At 43.1% G+C, this 20464-nt stretch overlaps 1 protein-coding gene across 6 annotated transcripts in view, besides 1 other annotated feature; it reads left to right on the forward strand.

Annotated features, from left to right (window-relative positions):
- The window catches only part of KAZN (kazrin, periplakin interacting protein), a 1225220-nt gene that overhangs the window by 266771 nt on the left and 937985 nt on the right, over positions 1-20464 (forward strand). The gene's annotated exons all lie outside the window — the stretch shown is intronic.
- Positions 7648-8149: an enhancer, noted in NCBI's record as "H3K27ac hESC enhancer chr1:14493737-14494238 (GRCh37/hg19 assembly coordinates)". NCBI's record gives its function as "activates a minimal SCP1, AML or CMV promoter by ChIP-STARR-seq in primed H9 embryonic stem cells {active_cell/tissue: H9 hESC(primed)}" and the evidence as "EXISTENCE:reporter gene assay evidence [ECO:0000049][PMID:30033119]".

Consider the following 20464-nt stretch of genomic DNA (forward strand, 5'->3'; position numbering starts at 1 on the left):
ACCCCTCAGTGGCCAAGCAGGTACCTAAGGTGCAAGACCAAGTCCCCTTAGCTTTTTCCTCTGCTTTTCTCAAGTGAAAGGAGTCTTGCCCCATTGCCACCACAGCTGGGAATGTGTTGAGTCTTACCTGAAACCAGCAAGTCTCAGGGTCTGACCCAAGGTCCTTGATGTAGTACTTGAGTATCACTGCTGGGCTCTTCAGTTAGCAGGTGATGAATCCTTCCAGGACTCCTTCCAGATGAGTCTTTCTTTTCAGAGCAGCAGGTTCCCTTCTGGCCTAGGGTGTGTCTGGAAATGTCATCCAGGAACTAGGGCCTGGAAAGGGGGTCTTATGACTCTGACTGGTACCTTATTTGCTGTGGCTGAGCTGGTATCCAAGATGCAAGACTCTTCCCTTTCCTCTCCTCAAGGAGAGGGAAGGGGTCTGTTTTGGAGCCATGAGCTGTGCAGCCTGGGGTTAAGAAATGGATGATGCCTGCACTCTTTTAGCTGTCATGTGACCTTCTGTCCACTGTCTCTGGGCCCAGTTCAGCACTAGGACTTGGCTAGGAGTTGCAGTCCTTTTGGCCTAGACTGCCTTTCAGGTTTATTTAAGGCCCCACAGCACTTTAGCCTGCAATAGCAAGGCTTTCAGGAACTCAAGTTCAGACCACTGACATAGGCAATTCCCTTCTGGCTAGGCTGGTTTTAATGTTCCCTCAGTGGGCAGGCATCAGCTGAGCTTGGCTTTGTTTTATTTTCTGTTATAAAAGGGCAGCACTGAGTTCAATGCCTCATAAATGCTGCAATCTCCCTCTCTCCAGCACACTAAGATGCTTTCCACACCTTGCTGCCACTGCTGCAGGGAGGAGGGTGAGGGGCTGGAAGGAGGGGGCTTGGGAGAGGAGTGATGTCAACAATTTAAGACTGTTTTTCCTACCTCTTTAGCACCTCTTTCAGTGATATGAAGTTAAAGCCAGCTACTCTGAGTGCTCACCTGAGTTTTGGCTCTTATGAAGGTGCTTTTTTTGTGTGTGGATAGTTGTTAACTTGGTGTCCTTATGGTGGGGCAAGAATCGGTGGAGTCTTCTATTGCACCATCTTGTTCTGCCCCCTGCCTTGCAGTTCTTGCTGAGCTAGAAGTAAGTGAATTTGGGGGTTCACTAAAAGCCTCCCATTTATTTTATCTCTCTATTCTCATGTAGGATGTATGCCTATATTATCCTTGGTAGGTGGGTGACTGTTCAACTGCTACTATTTTTTGAAGCTATGTTTTAGAAGATTGCATCTGATGACAAGGAAAAGGTTACATCTTTACCCAGTTCTATCAGTGGAAATAATTCGTTGCTGATAAGAGGACTTATCTTTGTGGTTTGATGGAATCTTAATGGTTGTGTTATGACTTATCCTTCAAGCACAGAAGTGCTGAAACTATTTCCCTGATGGGTGGAACCGTCTCTCTTTACTCTGGAAGAAGACCAAGAAAGCACAGACAGAATTAAATGTATCTTAAACACAAGTTTTTAAGAATAGAGTTGCATAGAAGATGGAGTCTTGTCAGGTTATTGGAGCAAAATCAAAGTGGTGGACTATAACAGAATTCAAATCTTCACCATATTAGCTATCTATTGCTGTATAAGAAATTACATCCAAACAGAGCAGCTTAAAACAATAACAGATCCTTATCTCACAATGTCTATGGGGCAGGAATTGTGGAGTGGCTTACCTAGTTGGTTCTGGCTCCCTGTCTCTCATGAAGATGCAGTCACAGTGTTGCCTGGCTTAACTGGAATCATTGAGAAGCTTGACTGCAACCGAAGGTTCTCCTTCCAAGATGGTGCACCCACATGGCTGGTGAGTTTGTGCTACTATTTAGTAAGATACCTCAATGCCTTACCATGTGGACCTTTTTACAAAGTTGCCGAAGTCTTCACAACTTCAGTTGACTTCCTTCAGAGTGAGTGATTGGAGAGAGAGCAAGATGAGAGCCACAGGGTCTTTTATGGCCTATCCCAGACGTCAAATGGACATTTCCACAATATCTTGTTGGTTACACAGGTTGGCCCTATCTAGTGTAGGAGAGGACTATCCAAGGGTGTGAATACCAGGAGGTGAGAATCATTGGGTTCTATTTTGGAATCTAGCTATAATTGTCCATTTTCTTCCCTTAACGATTCAAATGTAAAATATACTCCTTCCATCTCCAAACCCCCCAAAATCTCATCCAGTTATCACAAACTCAAAGTCTGGAATCTCATCATGTAAATCAGATCCAGGTGTAATTCCTTAAATGTTGTTTTGTGGGTACTATTTTTCTCAATCTAAAGACCTGTGATCTAAAGAGAGAAGTTACCTCCTTCTCACACGAACAGTGGTGCAACAAGCATAACTGCTATAGTTACACTTGTTCAAAAATGGGAAAATGAAAACCACACAGAAATTGCTGGACCATACAAGTTCTAAAACACCTCAGGCATGGGTCAACAGTTCCTTAATTAGGACTCAAGGATCAAGAATAATTCCTCATGGTTTTTGGATCCACCCTTTGAGCTCTTGGTTACACCCTCTCAGTCACTGTTCCTTTTATATAAAAGATCATGTTTGTAGCTGCAAAGTTTTCTTAATCTGCTTTTTGCTGGTAGAACTCTGGGGATCCATAGACCACTTTTCTTTCTATCTCTTTCAGACCGATTGATAGCATATCTGTCAATATAGTTCTCTTAAAAACATAGTGAGTATACTATAAATATTATTGGAGTATACTCCATTAGAGAAAACCACTTCCCAAATATCTCTGAGATAATCCTCTTTCTACCCTGAATTTTTGCTGAAACTACTGAGGGATGACATTAACTTTCTTAGAAACCCCAATTTTACTGTATTGTTCTTTGAGGCACCACCTTAAATATTTCTAAGGCCACAGCAAAAGATTTTATAGCTACACTCTTGGTTTTATCTTTTCTTTTCTTTTTTCTTTTTTTTTTTTTTTGAGACAGAGTCTCACTCTGTTGCCCAGGCTGGAGTGCAGTGGCACGGTCTGGGCTCACTGCAAGCTCCACCTCCAGGGTTCACGCCATTCTCCTGCCTCAGCCTCCCAAATAGCTGGGACTACAGGCATCCACCACCATGGCTGGCTAATTTTTTGTATTTTTAGTAGAGACGTGGTTTCACCGTGTTAGCCAGGATGGTCTCATTCTCCTGACCTTGGGATCCGCCTGCCTCAGCCTCCCAAAGTGCTGGGATTACAGGCGTGAGCCACCACGCTTGGCCGGCTTTATCTTTATACAGTGTTTTTCCAAGAAAGCTCTGAATCTACTTTTTGCCTAGGAACCATTTCCTAATTTTAGTCCTGTTTGCCATCTGCAGAGAATAAAATTTCTAAAACCAGTAAATCTTGGCTTTTTTTTTTAGTGGTCCTTCCTTTAGCTTATCTCTCTTCTCTTCCATTTTATTATTAGTAGCAAGAAGAAACTAGGTGGTATCTTCAACATTCTGGCTGCAAATCTTATCTAGATCTGTTAGCAGCAGTGAATCTGTATGGGTCTGCAGCAACTTGATTCTTCCCTCCTCAGAGGAAAGAATTTATCTGAGGGGCATAAGGCAGAGTGAGAGATCAAGGCAAATTTTAGAGCAGGAGTGAAAGTTTATTAAAAAGTTTTAGAGTGGGAGTGAAAGGAACTAAAGTACACTTGGAAGAGGGCCAAGCGGGTGACTTGAGAGACCCAAGTGCCCCATCTGACCTTTGACTTGAGGTTTTCATACATTGGCATAGTTCTGAAGTTTGTGTTTCTTCTCTCTTGATTTTTTTCCTGGGGTGAGCTGTCCACATGCACAGTGGCCTGCCAGCACTTGGGAGGGGCTGTATGTGCAGTGTGTTTACTGACATTGTGCATATCTTTCCCTTACCGGTCAAGTGTTCCTAGAGGAAGGTCATAGACCAGTTAAACCCCACCATTTTGCTTCTTAGTGCGCATGCTTCAGCCTACTTGCCCAGCTCCTGAGATCTTATTTGAAAACTGCTGATCACCAGCTTCAGGTGTTTTCTATGTATTGGGAGACTGCCGTTCCCTAGTGCCAGCTGTGACCAATTATTATTTTAGTGAGAGAGTTTAACAACCACATCACCATCACCTGATGGTTGCCTGACATTCCTGCGTGGAGGCCCTCTCCTGCCCTGCACGTGTCTGCCTAGCTGCCTACTTTAACAGATCATCCAGCTTATTCGATATATTTTCTACTTTCTGCATCACCACAGGCAATAGTATTGTTAAATTCTGCCGTTACGTAGCAAGAACCTTCTGTCCTCTACTTTACAGTCACATTTTCCTCGGTTTTCCTTATGCCCTCACCAGCAGCTTCTGTGAGGACCAACAGGATTCTGCTGGACATCTTCTGAGGGTACTTTAGGATTTTGCTGATACTCTTCTCTGACGTCCTCCAGCTTCTGCCCACTGCTCGGTTGAAAAGCCACCCAAATTTTTAGTGTTTTTTGTTATGGCAGAACTCTACTTCCAGGTATGAAAATCTGTATTTGTTATCTATTACTGCTCATAAATTACCTCCAATGCCTTTGGGTTAAAACAGCAATAACCTTTATTATCTTTTAGTTTCTGTGAGTTGGAAGAGTGGCCTGGCCAAATCATGCAAGCTTAGGGTTTCTCAGGTGATTACAGTCAAGTTGTCACCCTGGGCACATCCATCTGAGGGCTAGTCTGAGGCTAGAAGATATGCCTTTAGATGGCACATTCACATGGCTGGTGGGTTCATGCTGACTGTTGGCACAAGGTCTCAGTTCTTCATATGGCCTGCTTGAATATCCTTATGACATGGTGACCAACATCCCTCAGAGTGAGCATTTCAAGAGAGAAAACACTATGGCTTTGTGTGTGTGTGTGTGTGTGTGTGTGTTTGTAAATCTAGCCTCAAAAGTGATACTCCATTTCTGCAATGTGAGTTTCCTCTTTTTTTTTTTTTTTTTTTTTTTGAGATGGAGTTTTGCTCTTGTTGCCCAGACTGGAGTGCAATGGCACGATCTCGGCTCACCACAACCTCCGCTCCCTGGGTTCAAGCGATTCTCCTGCCTCAGCCTCCGAAGTAGCCAGGATTATAGGCATGCACCACCACGCCTGGCTCATTTTGTACTTTTAGTACAGATGGGGTTTCTCCATGTTGGTCAGGCTGGTCCCAAATCCTAACCTCAGGTGATCCGCCTGCCTCGGCCTCCCAAAGTGCTGGGATTACAGGCATGAGCCACCGTGCCCGGCCAAGTTTCCTCTTAAAGGAGGCGGACTCATTGTTGGGAATGATTTCACCTCTGAGCATATTCATTGTAATTTGGGGGAGAAGTAGCTGTGGCTAAAATAAAATACTGACATGGAAAGTTGCGGATCCTCTTTTCCAGGGTGTCGGTCTTTCTATGAGGCAATTCAATTGAAGCATGATTATATGTCAAATTACGGCAAAAGGATCATTTTTCCTCTTAAATTTTCTATCTCGATGACATCTGTGCAATTTTTAATTTGTCACAGAATAGGACCAGAATTGTGTGTCATGTGTACATAGCTAGTTTTATGTATTTCTGACAGTCCTAAAATGTGAGCTATGGCTTTCAACTTTCCTGCCTCTTTAGGACATTGGGAGCCTTGTATTTCTCGGTGGGCCCTCATCCTTTTGTCATGCTCTCATAGGTCAGATATGGGGCAGCAGGCCAGTCCTTCCCACTGGAAAGCCAGGTTTCCCATTCCCTCTGTGTCTACTCCACTCCCTGCCTTAGCCCCGTGTCTTCCTGTTAAAAGCAGGAATGACAAGGATCTATTTAAAATGCAGTTTCCTTTTCCACGTTTGGGCTCTTCACCTTAGCATGAACTGCTGGCAGTGAGCCTCCTGTCCGTGGCTCACCCAGGTCTCTGAGAATTTCTAATTCTCATTTGCATGCAGATTGTGTCCCTGAGCTCCACAAGGCTGCATCTGGTCTTGCATAATAAAATGTCAAAAGCCCATTGACACCAGGTGTTGAAGTTTTGCTGCCTCCAAAGCAAAGGAAGCTGTTCAGGGTGGTTTCTCCTTAGATGCTTTCTGAGAAGAAAAGAACAGTCTGTTGTCATCAGCACCCTCAGACTTGGAGCAGTTCTTCTTGTCCTCCTTCTCACCCCTGAGCAAGAACTGTTCCTTTGGCAGCTACTTGAAATCTTTGGCTCTGACTACAGTGTTCAAATAGCTTCATGTCTTAGGGGCAAACTCTTTGACAGAGATTCTGCATGTAGATCAGGCAAACAGTTGGTGCTACATAGAGTCCAGTCCTGTGACTGCCACACAAGGGCTTCATGAATGGTAACTATTGTCTTGTTTTAGGGTACTGAGTACTTTCCAGCAGATTCTCTCACGGTCATACAAAGAGCCGGCAGCAGTACGGAATATGCGTAAGGCCGGAAAGGGGCCACTCGGTATCTCAAAAGTAAATTAAAAAAACTAACATTCACGCCTATAATCCCAGCACTTCGGGAGGCAGAGGTGGGCAGATCACCTGAGGTCAGAAATTTGAGACCAGCCTGGCCAACGTGGCAAAACCCCATCTCTACTAAAAATACAAAAATTAGCTGGGCATGGTGGCGTGCGCCTGTAATCCCAGCTACCCAGGAGACTGAGGCAGGATAATTGCTGGAACCTGGGCGGCAGAGGCTGCAGTGAGCTGAGATTGTGCCACTGCACTCCAGCCTGAGCGACAGAGCAAGACTGTCTCAAAAATAAATAAATAAATAAATAACATGAAGTCATAGTGATTTCATGTGTGTAAGGGCCTTAGTTGGGCAAAACTTGGTTTGAATGCCAGTTCTGCCATTGATTGCCTGTGTGACCTTGGGTACCTCATGTCTTTGTCCTCAAGTTTCTCATCTATGAAATGCGGGTGATCAGATCACCATCATCTGACCGTTTTACAAGGACCATTACATTACACAAAATAAGCATAAATCCTGGAACACAGCAAATGTCGAAATAAGAGATGTTATTGCTGCTTTTGTTATAAATTTGGTACTATTGTGTTACTATGAGTAAATAAAAGTTATTGGTATAAGGGTTTTGGTAAATTTTGTACTATATATTTTAACAAATTTTGACTTTTTAAACATTCTTGGGCATTTTAGTTATACTTAAGTACAATTCACTTACTAATTGTAAATATTATCTATTAAAAGCCGTTCCTCTGGTTTTATTCACTTATATTTGATTATTTCCGTGTTTACATACTTGGAACATAATCACTTTTCAAATGTCATTAATTTAGATTTTTAAAAATTCAGACTACTCATTCTCCTCCAGGTACAATGAGTGAGGTTTTAGCTTTTACAGACTCAGTAAGGAAGTGAAGAATAAGTTGCAAATATCCCCTAACTCTGTATGAAGAACTGAAGGGCCACAGTCTGTCCTAAGGTGCGTGAGATAGCCAAAATGTTCTAGGGATCAAGGATCAAATCTCAAGCTTTGTCATCAAAAGATTTTCCTTAATGGAAAGGAAGGGGAACTGGACCCATCTAACTGGGTTAGAGCCCATCTAGGCAGGAATGCAGAGTGGTGCAGAGTTCTTTATGGAGTTCTGGGATTATGCCCATGTATTATCGTCAAGGTCAGGGGACAGAGCAGGAATCTTGTTTGAAAATGTGCATTTTATCCTAAAATTTGATGCCATTTTGCATTCCATTCCATATTTCATTGTGTCTTGTTTTATCCTAGAGAGAATCGCCTCCCCTCAACATCCCGAGCCTCTGAAGGGTCACTGGAAGAGAGCACAAGCATCTCTATCTGGCGTGGGTTACCAGTAGTCTAATTTAAAAATCAAGGCTAAGCCCTGTGGACTAAATACAAGGATGGAGGCAGGGCATGGTGGCTCATGTCTGTAATCCCAGTACTCTGGGAGGACGAGGCACGTGGATCACCTGAGGTCAGGAGTTCGAGACCAGCCTGGCCAACATGGGGAAACCCCATCTCTACTAAAAATCTAAACATTAGCCAGGCATCGTGGCAGACACCTACAATTCCAGCTACTAGAGAGGCTGAGGCAGGAGAGTTGCTTGCACCCTGGGGGTGGAGGTTGCAGCGAGCCGAGATCATGCCACTTCACTCCAGCCTGCGTAAAAGAGAGAAACTCTGTCAAAAAAACAAAAACAAAAACAAACAAGGAAGCACCTGAAAAATGGAATTTAGAGAAGTTAGGAAGGGCAGGGAGCAAGGAAGTAAAAGGCCTTGAGGTGGAGATAAAGACTGCAACAGTGGCATAGGAGGAAAAGTCCAGACAAAACTGGGGGCCAGATGACCCAGCCACTGGGTGCCTGTCAGGTCTGAACTGCACTCAGCCACCAAATGCCATGGCCTCTCAGCTTTTCTGGAAATTAATTGGTTCCAGGAGTCAAGTTAGTCTCCTTCCAATGGCAAGCACGTCCCATCAGGGCCGCAGTTAACACCACACAATCTTCTGTCACTGTAAGGTTGACATGTCCTTGGCGCCGCTTCCTCTTCCTTGAGCCAAAGCCCATTTCCTTGTTGCAGTCTTTACCGGACAACGACATTCAAATGAAAATTCGTGTATTATGCCCAGGCAAGTCGCTGGCTACATGATTTTGTCAGAATCTACTTCTCACAGGGCGACTTTATTGTAACGCATTTTCTTGCAGCTTCTGTTGGGTCAAAGTGGAGTTGGCCTTGGTAATGCTGGGAACCTACAAATAAAGAAAAGTGAAGCTGTTTGGAATGCCCGTGGAACAAGGCATGGTTAGATCCCATCTAGGCAGGAAGGCAGAGTGGTGCAGAGTTCTTTACGGAGTTCTGGGATGCGCAGAGGGAGACGCTGAATGTGAAAGCGTTTATTATCTCTGTGCAAATTGACACTTCTCTGCTCTTCAGTTGCATGATAGTGCTCAGGGCTGTGTTCCATTAGAGGTGGCCTTTTTTGCTGACTTTGAAGGATGTGGCGGGATTGACAAGCAGCCAGCTTCCTCATGGCAACAGTGGATGGAGATGATGCTACCCATTACAGGCTATAGGACTGTGTGACTTGAGTACAAAACTGGATCGTATATTCATAGATTTAGTGTAGCGATGAATTGTCATATTCTTCAGCCCAGCTAGAAGCTTCTGTTCAGTCCAGCAGGGAGAACCAGAGGGCCATAGAGCACTTCACAGGTACGAGGTTGTGTGGCTGTGGCCAAATTCCTGAAACCATCGAGACTCTGTTTCCTCAACAGAAGGACAGAGCCAGTAGTACCTAAACCTGGGTTGTGTGACAAGGAAATGCAATGATGCATGCAAGCCACTCAGCACAGTGCTTGATATTCAGTAAGTGCTTAATAAATAGCAGCTGCTGTTAGTAGTGGGGGTGTTGATGTTGTTACCATCACCTCCCTCTGAGCAAGGCATGGAAAATATTAACCTAAGTAAATAGCAGAGTTCATCTGTACTCTGGAAGTCTTGAGAAATAAAAGGCATTTGTCGTAAGTAGTAGAAAGACATCAGCTGTGGGACTCGTATTAAGTAGGGTTTACTCGGTATAGGTAACAGAAACCAAATGAAGCTGGCTTAAGGAGAAGAAGGGAATTTATCACAAGGGGTCAGGGCAGGAGACGGCTGGGTCTCACGGTGGACGGAAACCAAGGCCAAGAAAGAGGCTCTATCTCTGCTCTGTATTGCCCTCTGGGTCCTTACCATGTCATTCTCTCTCTTCTATCTCCTCTTCTCTCCCCTCCCCTCCCCTTCCTTCCCTGCTCTTCTCTTGTTGTCTCTCCAGCTGTCTTTCCCACATCCAGACTGCCCATTAGAATGTGGCTGTCCATTCCAGCAGAGTTTCCATGTTATATGTCCAGCCGATTAGCCTCACTGGGTGCCTCAGCTCCAATTTCCTACCTCTGGACAGTTTGGTGGTGCCCAATCAACTGGAGTGGAGTGAAGAGGGTGCTGTCCTAGGTTGAGCACACACAGGGGTGTGAGAACAGGCAGGGGCTGATTCCCAGTGAGCCCCCAATGCTACCTAGGGTGTCCATCCCCGAGGACTGTCCCCTGCAGCAGGGTCACCCTGGTGGTCGTGTCACAACTAGACCTGCTGGAGGCTCATACGGGAATTAGGCAATGGCCATAAGTAATGATCGGGATAATGATAGCTGGGTGTCATCACTGAGTAACTCTGGGCCAGGCACTGTTTTGAGTACTTCAGTTATATTACTTAGGTTAATACTCATAACTATCAAGTAAATATGGCTTTGTCTCCATGTGACAGAGAGAAAAGTGATACCCAAGAAGATGAAGTCACTTCCCAACAGCTATTAGACACAGCTAATAGCAGATGGAGGCAGGGTTCAAACTCAGGAAATCTGACCCCAAAAGCTCAGGCCCTCAGCCACATCTCTTAAAGAGGCGCACTCTCTTCCACAGGCTGTGGCAGGCTGGACCTTCCCCAAGCTTCTTTCTGAACATGGGCTTGGCTTTCTAAAAATGGAGCCACATTGATCCTCCAAGGTGTGGATCTGAACCACATGCCTGCCTCACAACTCACTCTGGCCCCTCCTGGCTTTGCAGTTCATCAGCTCTCAAACCCCACAGGCTCAGTCAGAGCCCAATTCAGGCACCACGTGGCTGGGACTTCTAGCCACACATGGTGGTTTTATTCACAAATGTAACTCTGGTTCTCTTGCAAATCTATCTGTTTAAAAGGGTGGTAAATTGATTTTGAATCCGTGGTTCTAAGGGTTTGTTTCATTACCTACTTTTAAACCTGTCTAATCTTGTAAGTTATGACTCTTTCACTGGGTCAAGGTAAAAAGAAAAAAAAAAATAGGTCTGGCTTTGCCCTGATCCCACCAGAAGACAAATCCCAGTGGTAGGGTCAGCAGTGGCATCCTTACATGCCAGAGACCACTCCAGTGTCTGATTCTAGAAAGATGTTCCAGTATCAACTTAAAAAAAATTGCGGTAAAATGCACGTAGCTTGAAATTTACCAGGTTAACTGCTTTAAAGTGTATAATCCAGTGGCATTTAGTACCTTCACAGTGTTGTATAACCATCACCACTATCTAGTCCCAGAACCTTTTTATTGCCACAAAAGGAAACCCTGTACTCATTAAGCAGTTAATCCTATGTTCTGCTCCTAAGGATTTGCCTATTCTGTAATTATTTTTTTTTCTGAGACAGAGTCTCACTCTGTCACCCAGGCTACAGTGCAATGGCACAATCTCAGCTCACTGCAACCTCTACCTCCTGGGTTCAAGCGATTCTCCTGCCTCAGCCTCCTGAGTAGCTGGGAGTACAGGTGCCTGCCACCATGCCCAGCTGATTTTTCTGTTTTCAGTAGAGATGGGGTTTCGATGAGGCTGGTCTCAAACTCCTGACCTCGTGATCCACCCATCTCAGCCTCCCAAAGTGCTGGGATTACGGGTGTGAGCCACCGCTCCTGGCCCTCTGTACAGTTCTTAAAAATGGAATTACAAGGTGTGGTCTTTTGTGTCCGGTTTTCATTTAGCATAATGTTTTCTAGATTCATCCACATTCTAGCATGCAGCAGCACTTCATTCCTACTGTATAGCTGAATAGTATTCCATTGTATGGATATACCACATTTTGTTAGTCCATGTATCAGTTGATGGGAATTTGGGTTGTTTCCACCTTGGGCTGCTATGAATAGTGCTGTTGTGAATGCTCATGTGTGAGTGTTTGCTAGAACACTTGTTTTCAATTCTTTTGCTTATATACCTAAGAGTAAATTCCTGGCTCATAAGAAAATTCTGTGTTCAACTTACTGAGGAACTGCCAAGCTGTTTTCCACAGTGGATGGACCATTTTACATTCCCACCAGCAACCTATGAGGGTTCCCATTTCTCCACATCCTTGCCTCCAGCATCAACTTTTGACTTATAGGATGAGTTTTATTATAATAATGGGGGGAAAATCTGAATTATTTAGGCTTCATTTATTTAATGAGACCATATTAAAGCAAGAACTGGAAACCTGTGAGCATTTTAATGCAAAATACATCATAGAATTTGAGATACACGAAAGCAAAGGTTGTTTAACATGCAGAGATAAATTTGGTCATTAGTTCATATCTATGGACCATATAAATGACAAGATCATAAAATCCATGGAGCTTCTTGTGGCAAGGCTGTGCCCCATGATATGACTCATCTGGTATATTTTTCTATAAAAATGTATAATAGCCCATCTCAGTGACATCTGGACTCATCTACATAAAAAGAGTTTAGGGTCATATTATTATTATTTCATGGGCTATACTTCATCTGATCCATAAGACAGAAGCAAAGTACGGTAAGCTGTTATTTCTCTTCTGAAAACATTAAGAAATTGTATGTGTATCTTCTATTTTTGCTAATGACACAAAATGTCAAAGCGTGTCATTTTTTTCCTCTGCCAACTCATGAATGTACCACTTATCTGTAACCTAAATACTCATTAATGTACAGTGAAATTGAAATGAGCCCTTCGTATAAATAAGCCTACTACAGAAATACAAGTTGCTTTAAATTTGTAGACCAAAATAACATGGCATAAATTGAACATCATTTCACATTCAAAACAACCAACCAAATAAACTGGTTTTTATGACTCAATTTCCTAAACTCAGGTAGGTAAGAAAGCATATATATGGTTCTTCATTTTTGTAATCCATCATACATTTTAAGAACAGCACTGTTTAGTTGAAATGTCTATAGGCCAAATGGAGAAGAATGTGCATACCACACAATTCTAGGATGATGGGGCAGAGGGAGGGGATGAAGTGGAGTGGAGTTGGCTTTTTCCTTCATTTCTTCATTTATTTGTTCTTTTTTTGCCCTTTTGGGCAAATATTTGTTTGTTCGAGCACTATTATGTGCCAGGTCCTATGCTTAAATCAGGGGATACAATGATTAACCAAAAAAATATACTATTGGTGACCTCATGGAACTTACAACTTAAAATGTGTTCCATGAGGGTGATACAGTTATCTGTTATCTATTGCTGTGTAACAAACCACTCCAAAACTAAGCGATGGAAATCAATACCTTATTATGCTCTCAGCTTTGTGGGCCAGGAATTTGGGTATTGCACAGGGAGGAGCTCAGCTAGGCTCCACAGTGGCTGTGGCCTCATCTGGGATGACTTGAATCATTGAGATGGCTGGTGCCATGGCAAGGGCCTCCGTGATGGCGGATGGCTGGATTTCTTGGCCCTTCTCTATATTGCACCTTCTGGGATTGGAATATTCAAGATGGCTTTTTCACTCGTGTATCTGGCACCTGGGCTGGATGGTTAGAAAGCTGAGGATGGCTGGGCATCTCCTTCTCCATGCTGTGAGTGTGGGCTTCCTCCAAGTATGGCGGTCTCAGGTGCCTCAGACTTCTTATATGGCAGCTTCTCCCAGAAGGAGCATTCCAGGAATCATGGGCAGAAGCTGCAAGACCTCTTATGACCTAGCCTTAGAAATCCCAGGGCACCACTTCTGCCACTTACTGTGGGGACAACCTTGTCACTAAGGCCAGCCAGACTCACGAGGAGGGGATTCTGACCTTATTTCTCAAGGGGAGGAGTAGCAAAAAATTTAAGATTATCTTTAATGTGCAACAGAGGGAGACAGACATTCAAGAAATAACCACACCAATAACTGTTGCAGTGAAGAAAGAGTACAAGCATCTTTATAGTAATCAAGACTTCCTGATTGCAAATGATAGAAACCTAACTCAGATGGGCTAAAGAAAAGAAGGGCATTTACTGACCTACTTAACTGAGAAGTCTGTGGCTGAATCCTGTGCTGCAATGATGTCTTCAAGGACCACTTTCCCTGTCTCTCAGCTCCACTTACCTCCATTTACTCAATTGGTTTTATTCTCAGGCAAGAGTTCCTCAAGTGATGACTACAAAGCCCACCAGCTGCTCCACAGTCCTACCAGTCTACCAATCCCAATTGAAAAAGAGGCCACACAGCCAAGCAGATTGAATCCCAGGACTATCCGCCGGAACTATTGAGAAAGAGATAGCTAACCTCTCTTTTTCAGCTGGGAGTGGTAAATTGTTATAAATGTGAAGCAGCTGGTGGGCTTTGTAGTTCCCCTCCCCGCCCCGCCCCGCCCAACTTGAGGAGCCTATCTCTTTCTCAATAGTTCCATCAAATTGTCCTGAGATTAAACCTGTTTGGCTGCATTTGGTTCACATGTCCTTTGCTGAACCAACCACTGTTGCCAAAGAGATGAAACGCTTGGATTGGCCAGGCCTGGACCACGTGCCCACCTCAGGGACTTGGGAGTGGAATCAGCCCTAAATAAACCACACATGGAAAGAATGTTCCTACAAAATAAGAGAGCTGCTTTTATTAGAAGAGGGAAATAGATGCTAACCAGACAGAAATATAAAATGTCCATTACACAACCTAACACAGGGTGACCAGCATTGAATATTTGGTCTGTACATAGAAACAAATGGGAAAAGGCATTCCTCTTCGATATCATTACTTCCACATATTCAGCTTGCATTAATTATGTTTTCAATGGGTGTGAAGCACTGGACAGGTTGTAACTGAGGGTACACACTGAATAGACAAATGGGTGGTATAGGGAGGTCACAGGATTTGGGGGCTGGCGAAAAGGTGGTGGTAGCACACTCAAGCTTTGTTGGGGAATGCTTTGACCGGCTGGCAAGAAGGGAAGTTCCGCACGGTGGGAGACTGTCCAGAGGTGCAGGGGGTCCACACTCAGAAGGAAAGGAGGGCAAGGCAAACCCAGGGAGATGGGGAGTAGAGAGGGAACTTATGTGTCAACGTGATGTTGCTCAGTAGCTCCTTGAGAGCCTCCAGGACAGGAAGCATTGAAGAGCAGAAGTTTGGGGTCTTTATGGCTCAGGGTTTAGCCTATCTAAGGCTAACAGGTGTTGGGAGCAGTTTTGCGGATTATACAAGGCAGGCTCTAAATGGCTAAACATCTGCTTATTTGAGCTATGTTTAAAGCAATTAGATGTGGAAAATTTTGAGTTTGTTTCTGGTGGGCTTGTGAGCTAGCAGGGCTGAGCCTGCAAAGAAGAAATAAATAACCAAAGGGCCAATACACAGAGACCATCTTTGGCTCACTTATATAACAAGGAGTTAAAAATTAATCTCAATTATAATCAGAACAATTAGTTAATATCAGCATGTTAAAGATTTGAGGTACAAACTGGAATGATAATCTAATAGTTAACATTTTTTTACATGCTTATCATGTGGTAGGTACTGTGACACGTGCTTTATACAATCTGTCTCTAATTCTCAGAGCAACTCTGTACAGGTGGGAAAACTGAGGGGTAAGTAGGGGCCATGTGATGGCTGTTAAAGATTCAGCTTGGGCACGGTCTAGCTCGTGTCTGCTCATGTTTAATTAGCCAAAGCAAGTCATATGGCAAAACTTAACATCAGTGAAGGCAGGAAGAATGTTTCTCCCACGGGAGGGTCACTAGGGAGGACTGTAGGCATTGGTTTAGAGAGGGGCAGTTTTTGAACCAGTAATTCAATCTACCATGGATGGGTTTTGTTTTCGTTTTTGTTTTTGAAATGGAATCTCACTCTGTCACCCAGGCTGGAGTGCAGTGGCGCAATCTCGGCTCACTGCAAGCTCCGCCTCCCGGGTTCACCCCATTCTCCTGCCTCAGCCTCCAGAGTAGCTGGGACTACAGGCGCCTGCCACTACGCCTGGCTGATTTTTTGTATTTTTAGTAGAGACAGGGTTTCACCGTGTTAGCCAGGATGGTCTTGATCTCCTGATCTCGTGATCCGCCCACCTCGGCCTCCCGAAGTGCTGGGATTTCAGGCGTGAGCCACCGCGCCGGGCCCACGGATGGATTCTTAAGCAGTTGCCATACAATGTGGTAAGTTCTCTGATGGAATTTATTCTTTGAGCAGACAGGGAGGTGCTTAAATCTTTCAATTTGTCTTTTGTGTTTAGAACAAAGCGAAACTTAGGGCATGTTTTGGTGATTAAGCCTCAATTTTCTGGAACAAGGATAGAACGAGTTGTACTGTGTGTGAGTAGTGTACGCAAAAGAAAGAAACAAGTTGTAATAGATGCAGTTTGAGAACCCCAAATCCGCTAGCCTACTTAGAGTGAAAAGCAAGGACAGTAACTCCTGTCTTCCAAGAACTGGCATAAGGAGTTTTGTTAATAGTAATGTCTGTGCATGTGTAAGCAAAGGACGTGGGAACTGAGGTACTCTCAGAATGATTTGGGAAGAAGGTTTGTTAAGAACATGGAGTCTGTGTATTGGGAGTTTGGGGAAGGGAAGGCAGGATGGTAGAGGAAAATGAGGCATAAATTGAGCAAAGATTTGTCGTAGACCATGGGTAGGTTATTTTAATGCCCTTGCCAACTCTTCTCCTCATGGCTCAGCATGTCCTAACCTTCCTGTTTGCAGATAACATACAGGGGATATACACAGAAGTTTAAAATGTATAGTCATAATGCTAAAAAGTCAGGTGGTATTGTTTTTAACTTTGTATAATGGAACTCAATTTAGATCTGGAGCACCTATTTCCACTTAGGGTAACTCAGTCACTTCTGGTTTAAAAGTGAGTATCTTCTGAGTAAATATCAAATAAATTCAAATTGCTTCCCCTACCCTTTCTCTTCCCCTTCTGTTTGGGTTCTCAGGGAGCTTATGTATTATCTTGTCCTGGGATGTATAGCTTGTCCATGAATCTCTCTCTGGCCGTTTCTGGACTAGGTTGAGGTATCATCAACCCCAGTTGCTCAACACTAAGCAAGACGAGGTGGAGCGATGAGAGTGTAGGTGGTAGAGCTATCTCAGATTCTCTGTAACTTAAAATGCCACAGGGTCACCATTTCCACCCCAATATCAGCTGCCACAGCTGCCACAGCTGCCCAGGGCAGGGTATGAGACATGAGGGAACTTCTGTTTTCAGATCCCCAAATCTGTCTGGGTGTTTCTAACCCTCTGCAGTGGAGAACAGAATTCAGGCTAAGTGAGAATCAGGCCATATTCTTTCTAGTCCATCCTTCTCTGTTTTAGCCAAGCTCCCCTCTAGCCCAGGAAAGGATTGTGGAGTCTTCCCATGCAACGAGGCACAGCTCTGATGTCATATCCGGTATTCTCCCTACCCTATGGCCTATAGTTGCCACTGTATGCTCAGTCCTCCAAGTTTGATTCTCCATGATTCAAAACCCATCTTCTATTTATTTATTATTTGTTTAATTTTTTTAGGGATTAATCGAGGATTTACGATATCCATCTTTAACACAGTCTACCTTCAAATAACATTATACCACTTTAGGTATAAGATCTAAAACTTAGGTTGTTCGCAGTGGCTCATGCCTATAGTCCCAGCACTTTGGGAGGCCAAGGCGGGTGGATCACGAGGTCAGGAGTTCGAGACCAGCCTGGCCAATATGGTGAAACACCGTCTCTACTAAAAGTACAAAAATTAGCTGGGTGTGGTGGTGCGTGCCTGTAGTCCCAGCTACTCGGGAGGCTAAGGTAGAAGAATCACTTGGACCTAGAAGGCAGAGGTTGCAGTGAGCTGAGATCGAGCCACTGCACTCGAGCCTGGGTGACACAGCGAGACGCCATCTCAAAAAAAAAGACAATATGCTTACATTGGCACCTGCTTATTCTTTGTGCTGTTATTGTCATATATTTTACTCTATGTAAGTTATCAACCCCACAGGATATTATTATTGTTGTTGCTTTAAACCATCAATAATCTTTTAAATGAATTAAAAGATGAGAAAGAACATGTTTATGCTACTCAAACATTTCCCTTTGCAAGCATTCTTTTTTCATTTTTGTAAATAGAAGTTTCTACCTAATGTCATTTTCCTTCTGCCTCAAGTAACTTCTTTAACCTTTCTTTTAGTGCAAATCTGCTGGTGATGAGTTCTCTCAGCTTTTGTTTATCTAAAAAAGTCACCTTCATTTTTGAAAGATATTGATGGTTATAGAACTGTACATTGGCAATTTCGGTTGGCAAGTTTTTTGCTTTCAGTACTTTCGAAATGTCAATTTTTTTTTATCTCCTGGTTTGCATAGATTCCGATGAGAAGGCTGACATTGTTTTTTGGTCTCTAAATGTAACATGCCTTTTTTCTATGATCCTGTGTCTGGGCAGGATAAAACTCTACATGACTAGGCAAGAAAAACTTGCAGGAGAGAACAGTTACAGGGGAGCTGGTTGATTTTAAGATTTTCTCATTTTCACTGTGTGTGTGTGTTTTTTTTTTTTTTTTTAGTAATTTGATTATAATATGCCTTGTTGCAGCCTTCTCTGTGTTCATCCTGCTTACAGTTTATTGAGATTCTTATAGGTTTATAGTTTTTATCAAATATGGAAAAAAATTGTTCATTTTTGATAGCATTTGGCTGTGTCCCCACACAAATATCTTGAATTGTAGTTTCCATAATCTCCACGTGTCATAGGAGGGACTCTGTGGGAGGTAATTTAATCATGGGGGCGGTTACCTCCATGCTGTTCTTATGATAATGAGTGAGTCTCAGGAGATCTGATGGTTTTATAAGCATCTGGCATTTCCCCTGCTGGCACTCATTCTCTCTCCTGCCACCCAGTGAAGAGGTGCCTTCTGCCATGATTTTAAGTTTCCTGAGGCCTCCCCAGCCATGCGGAACTATGCGTCAATGAAACCTCTTTCCTTTATAAATTACCCAGTCTCTCCGATGTTTCTTCATGGCAGAATGAGAACAGACTAATACAATTTTAGTTCTTCAACTACTGTTTCTGTTTCCCTGTCCTCCCCACCTCTGCCAACGAGACTCCAATTAGATATACGTTAGCTTTATAGACTTACATTGTCACTAATTTTGGATAGTTTTATTGCTATGATTTCAGGTTCACCAATCTTTTCTTCTCCATTGTCTAATCTGCTATTAATCTCATCCAATGAGAATTCCATTTCAGATTTTGCATTTTTCATCCCTAGAGGTTCCATTTGGTTCTGATTTAAATATTCTACTTTTCTCTTTATTATATTCATGTTTGTTTTACAACCTTGAACAAGCAAAGCATATTTTTAGTAGCTGTCTGAATAGCCATGTTTGCTAATACTATCACTTCTGTTATTTCTGGGTTTGTTTCTGTATACTGATTTTTCTCCAAGCTATTAGTCACATTTTCTTGCTTTTTTGTATGTCTGGTAATTTTTTATGGAACCCTAAGCATTATGAATGTTACATTTTGGGGTACTATATTTTGTTCCACTTCTATAAAAATGCTAACTTTTTTGGCAGGTATTTTAGTTACTTGCAGATCAGTTCACCTCTTTCATGGCTTACTTTTAAGCTCTTTTTGGAAGGGCCTGGAATAGCCTTTATTCTAGGAATCATTTTGCTTAATTTCTACACCCTGGCCCTTCTGGAGTCTCTAATGAATGTGTCCCATATTCCACCCAAATTCCTCCTCTTTGGCTGGTGAGCATGTCAACAATTTATGGACACGTGATCTCTTGAAATTATTTGGCCTGCAGCTCCCCTGTAACTGTTCTTTCCTGCACGTTTTTCTTGCTGGTCATGTAGAGTTTTATCCTGCCCAGACACAGGATTGATATTCAGCCAGCAACTCAAAGGCAACCCCTTTGCAGATCTTTGGAGATCTAGGTGTAGCCCTCCTGCTCTTTTAGAACTTTGTCCTGGAAATCCTAGCTAACTTAGTCTTCCTGATCTCCAGCTCCTTAATTCAGTGACATTGCGGGGCTCTCTCTGGATTTCTCTTTTCTATGCTGGAGTCTGGAAATTCTGTCCTTGCAGAATGCATGGAGATATTAGGACTCAACTTGCTTTTTCATATTTTCTCAAGGATCACAATCCCATGTTGTCCAATGTCTAAAAATAGTTGATTCTAACATAGTGTTCAGTTTTATAGTTATTTACAGCAAGAGGATAATCTGGACCCTCATGGCCAAAGCCAGAAGTCTTCAAAGTCCCTCTATTGTATACTGGCTCCTTGATAATGACATTTTTCTTTTCATAATTGTGGCAAATGCAGTGGCTTTATGGAGAATGCCTAGAATTTACTTATTTGGGGTTTGAAAGGATAGATTTACCTGAAAATGATAGAAATTCCATGAGGAAAGAAATATTAATTCACAGAGATGTAAGGAATTAATTCAACAGTATTTATTAAGCACCTTCCATTTGCTAGGTGCTGTTCTAGTTTTTGGGGAGATGACAGTAAGCAAAGAGATTAAAAGAAGCCTCTCTGCTGTGATCAAGTCCATTGTAGAGAAAATAGAGAAAGAGGCAGCAACCATAATAAGTAAAATCTTAAAATCTATAACACATCAGATGGTAAGTGCTATGGGAATTATAGAGAAATAATAATCCTTTCAGCCCACATGTGGCACTGATTGGAAAACATGGCCACTGTCCCTTCATAAAATTTAATGACAGAGGCCATCTGCTTAGAGGTACAATAGCCAACTGTATTACCATAAATGTAAATCTAGTCTAGGGCTGTCCTCTCAT

This window comes from Homo sapiens, chromosome 1 (assembly GCF_000001405.40).
Source record: "Homo sapiens chromosome 1, GRCh38.p14 Primary Assembly".
Taxonomy (NCBI): Eukaryota; Metazoa; Chordata; class Mammalia; order Primates; family Hominidae; genus Homo; species Homo sapiens.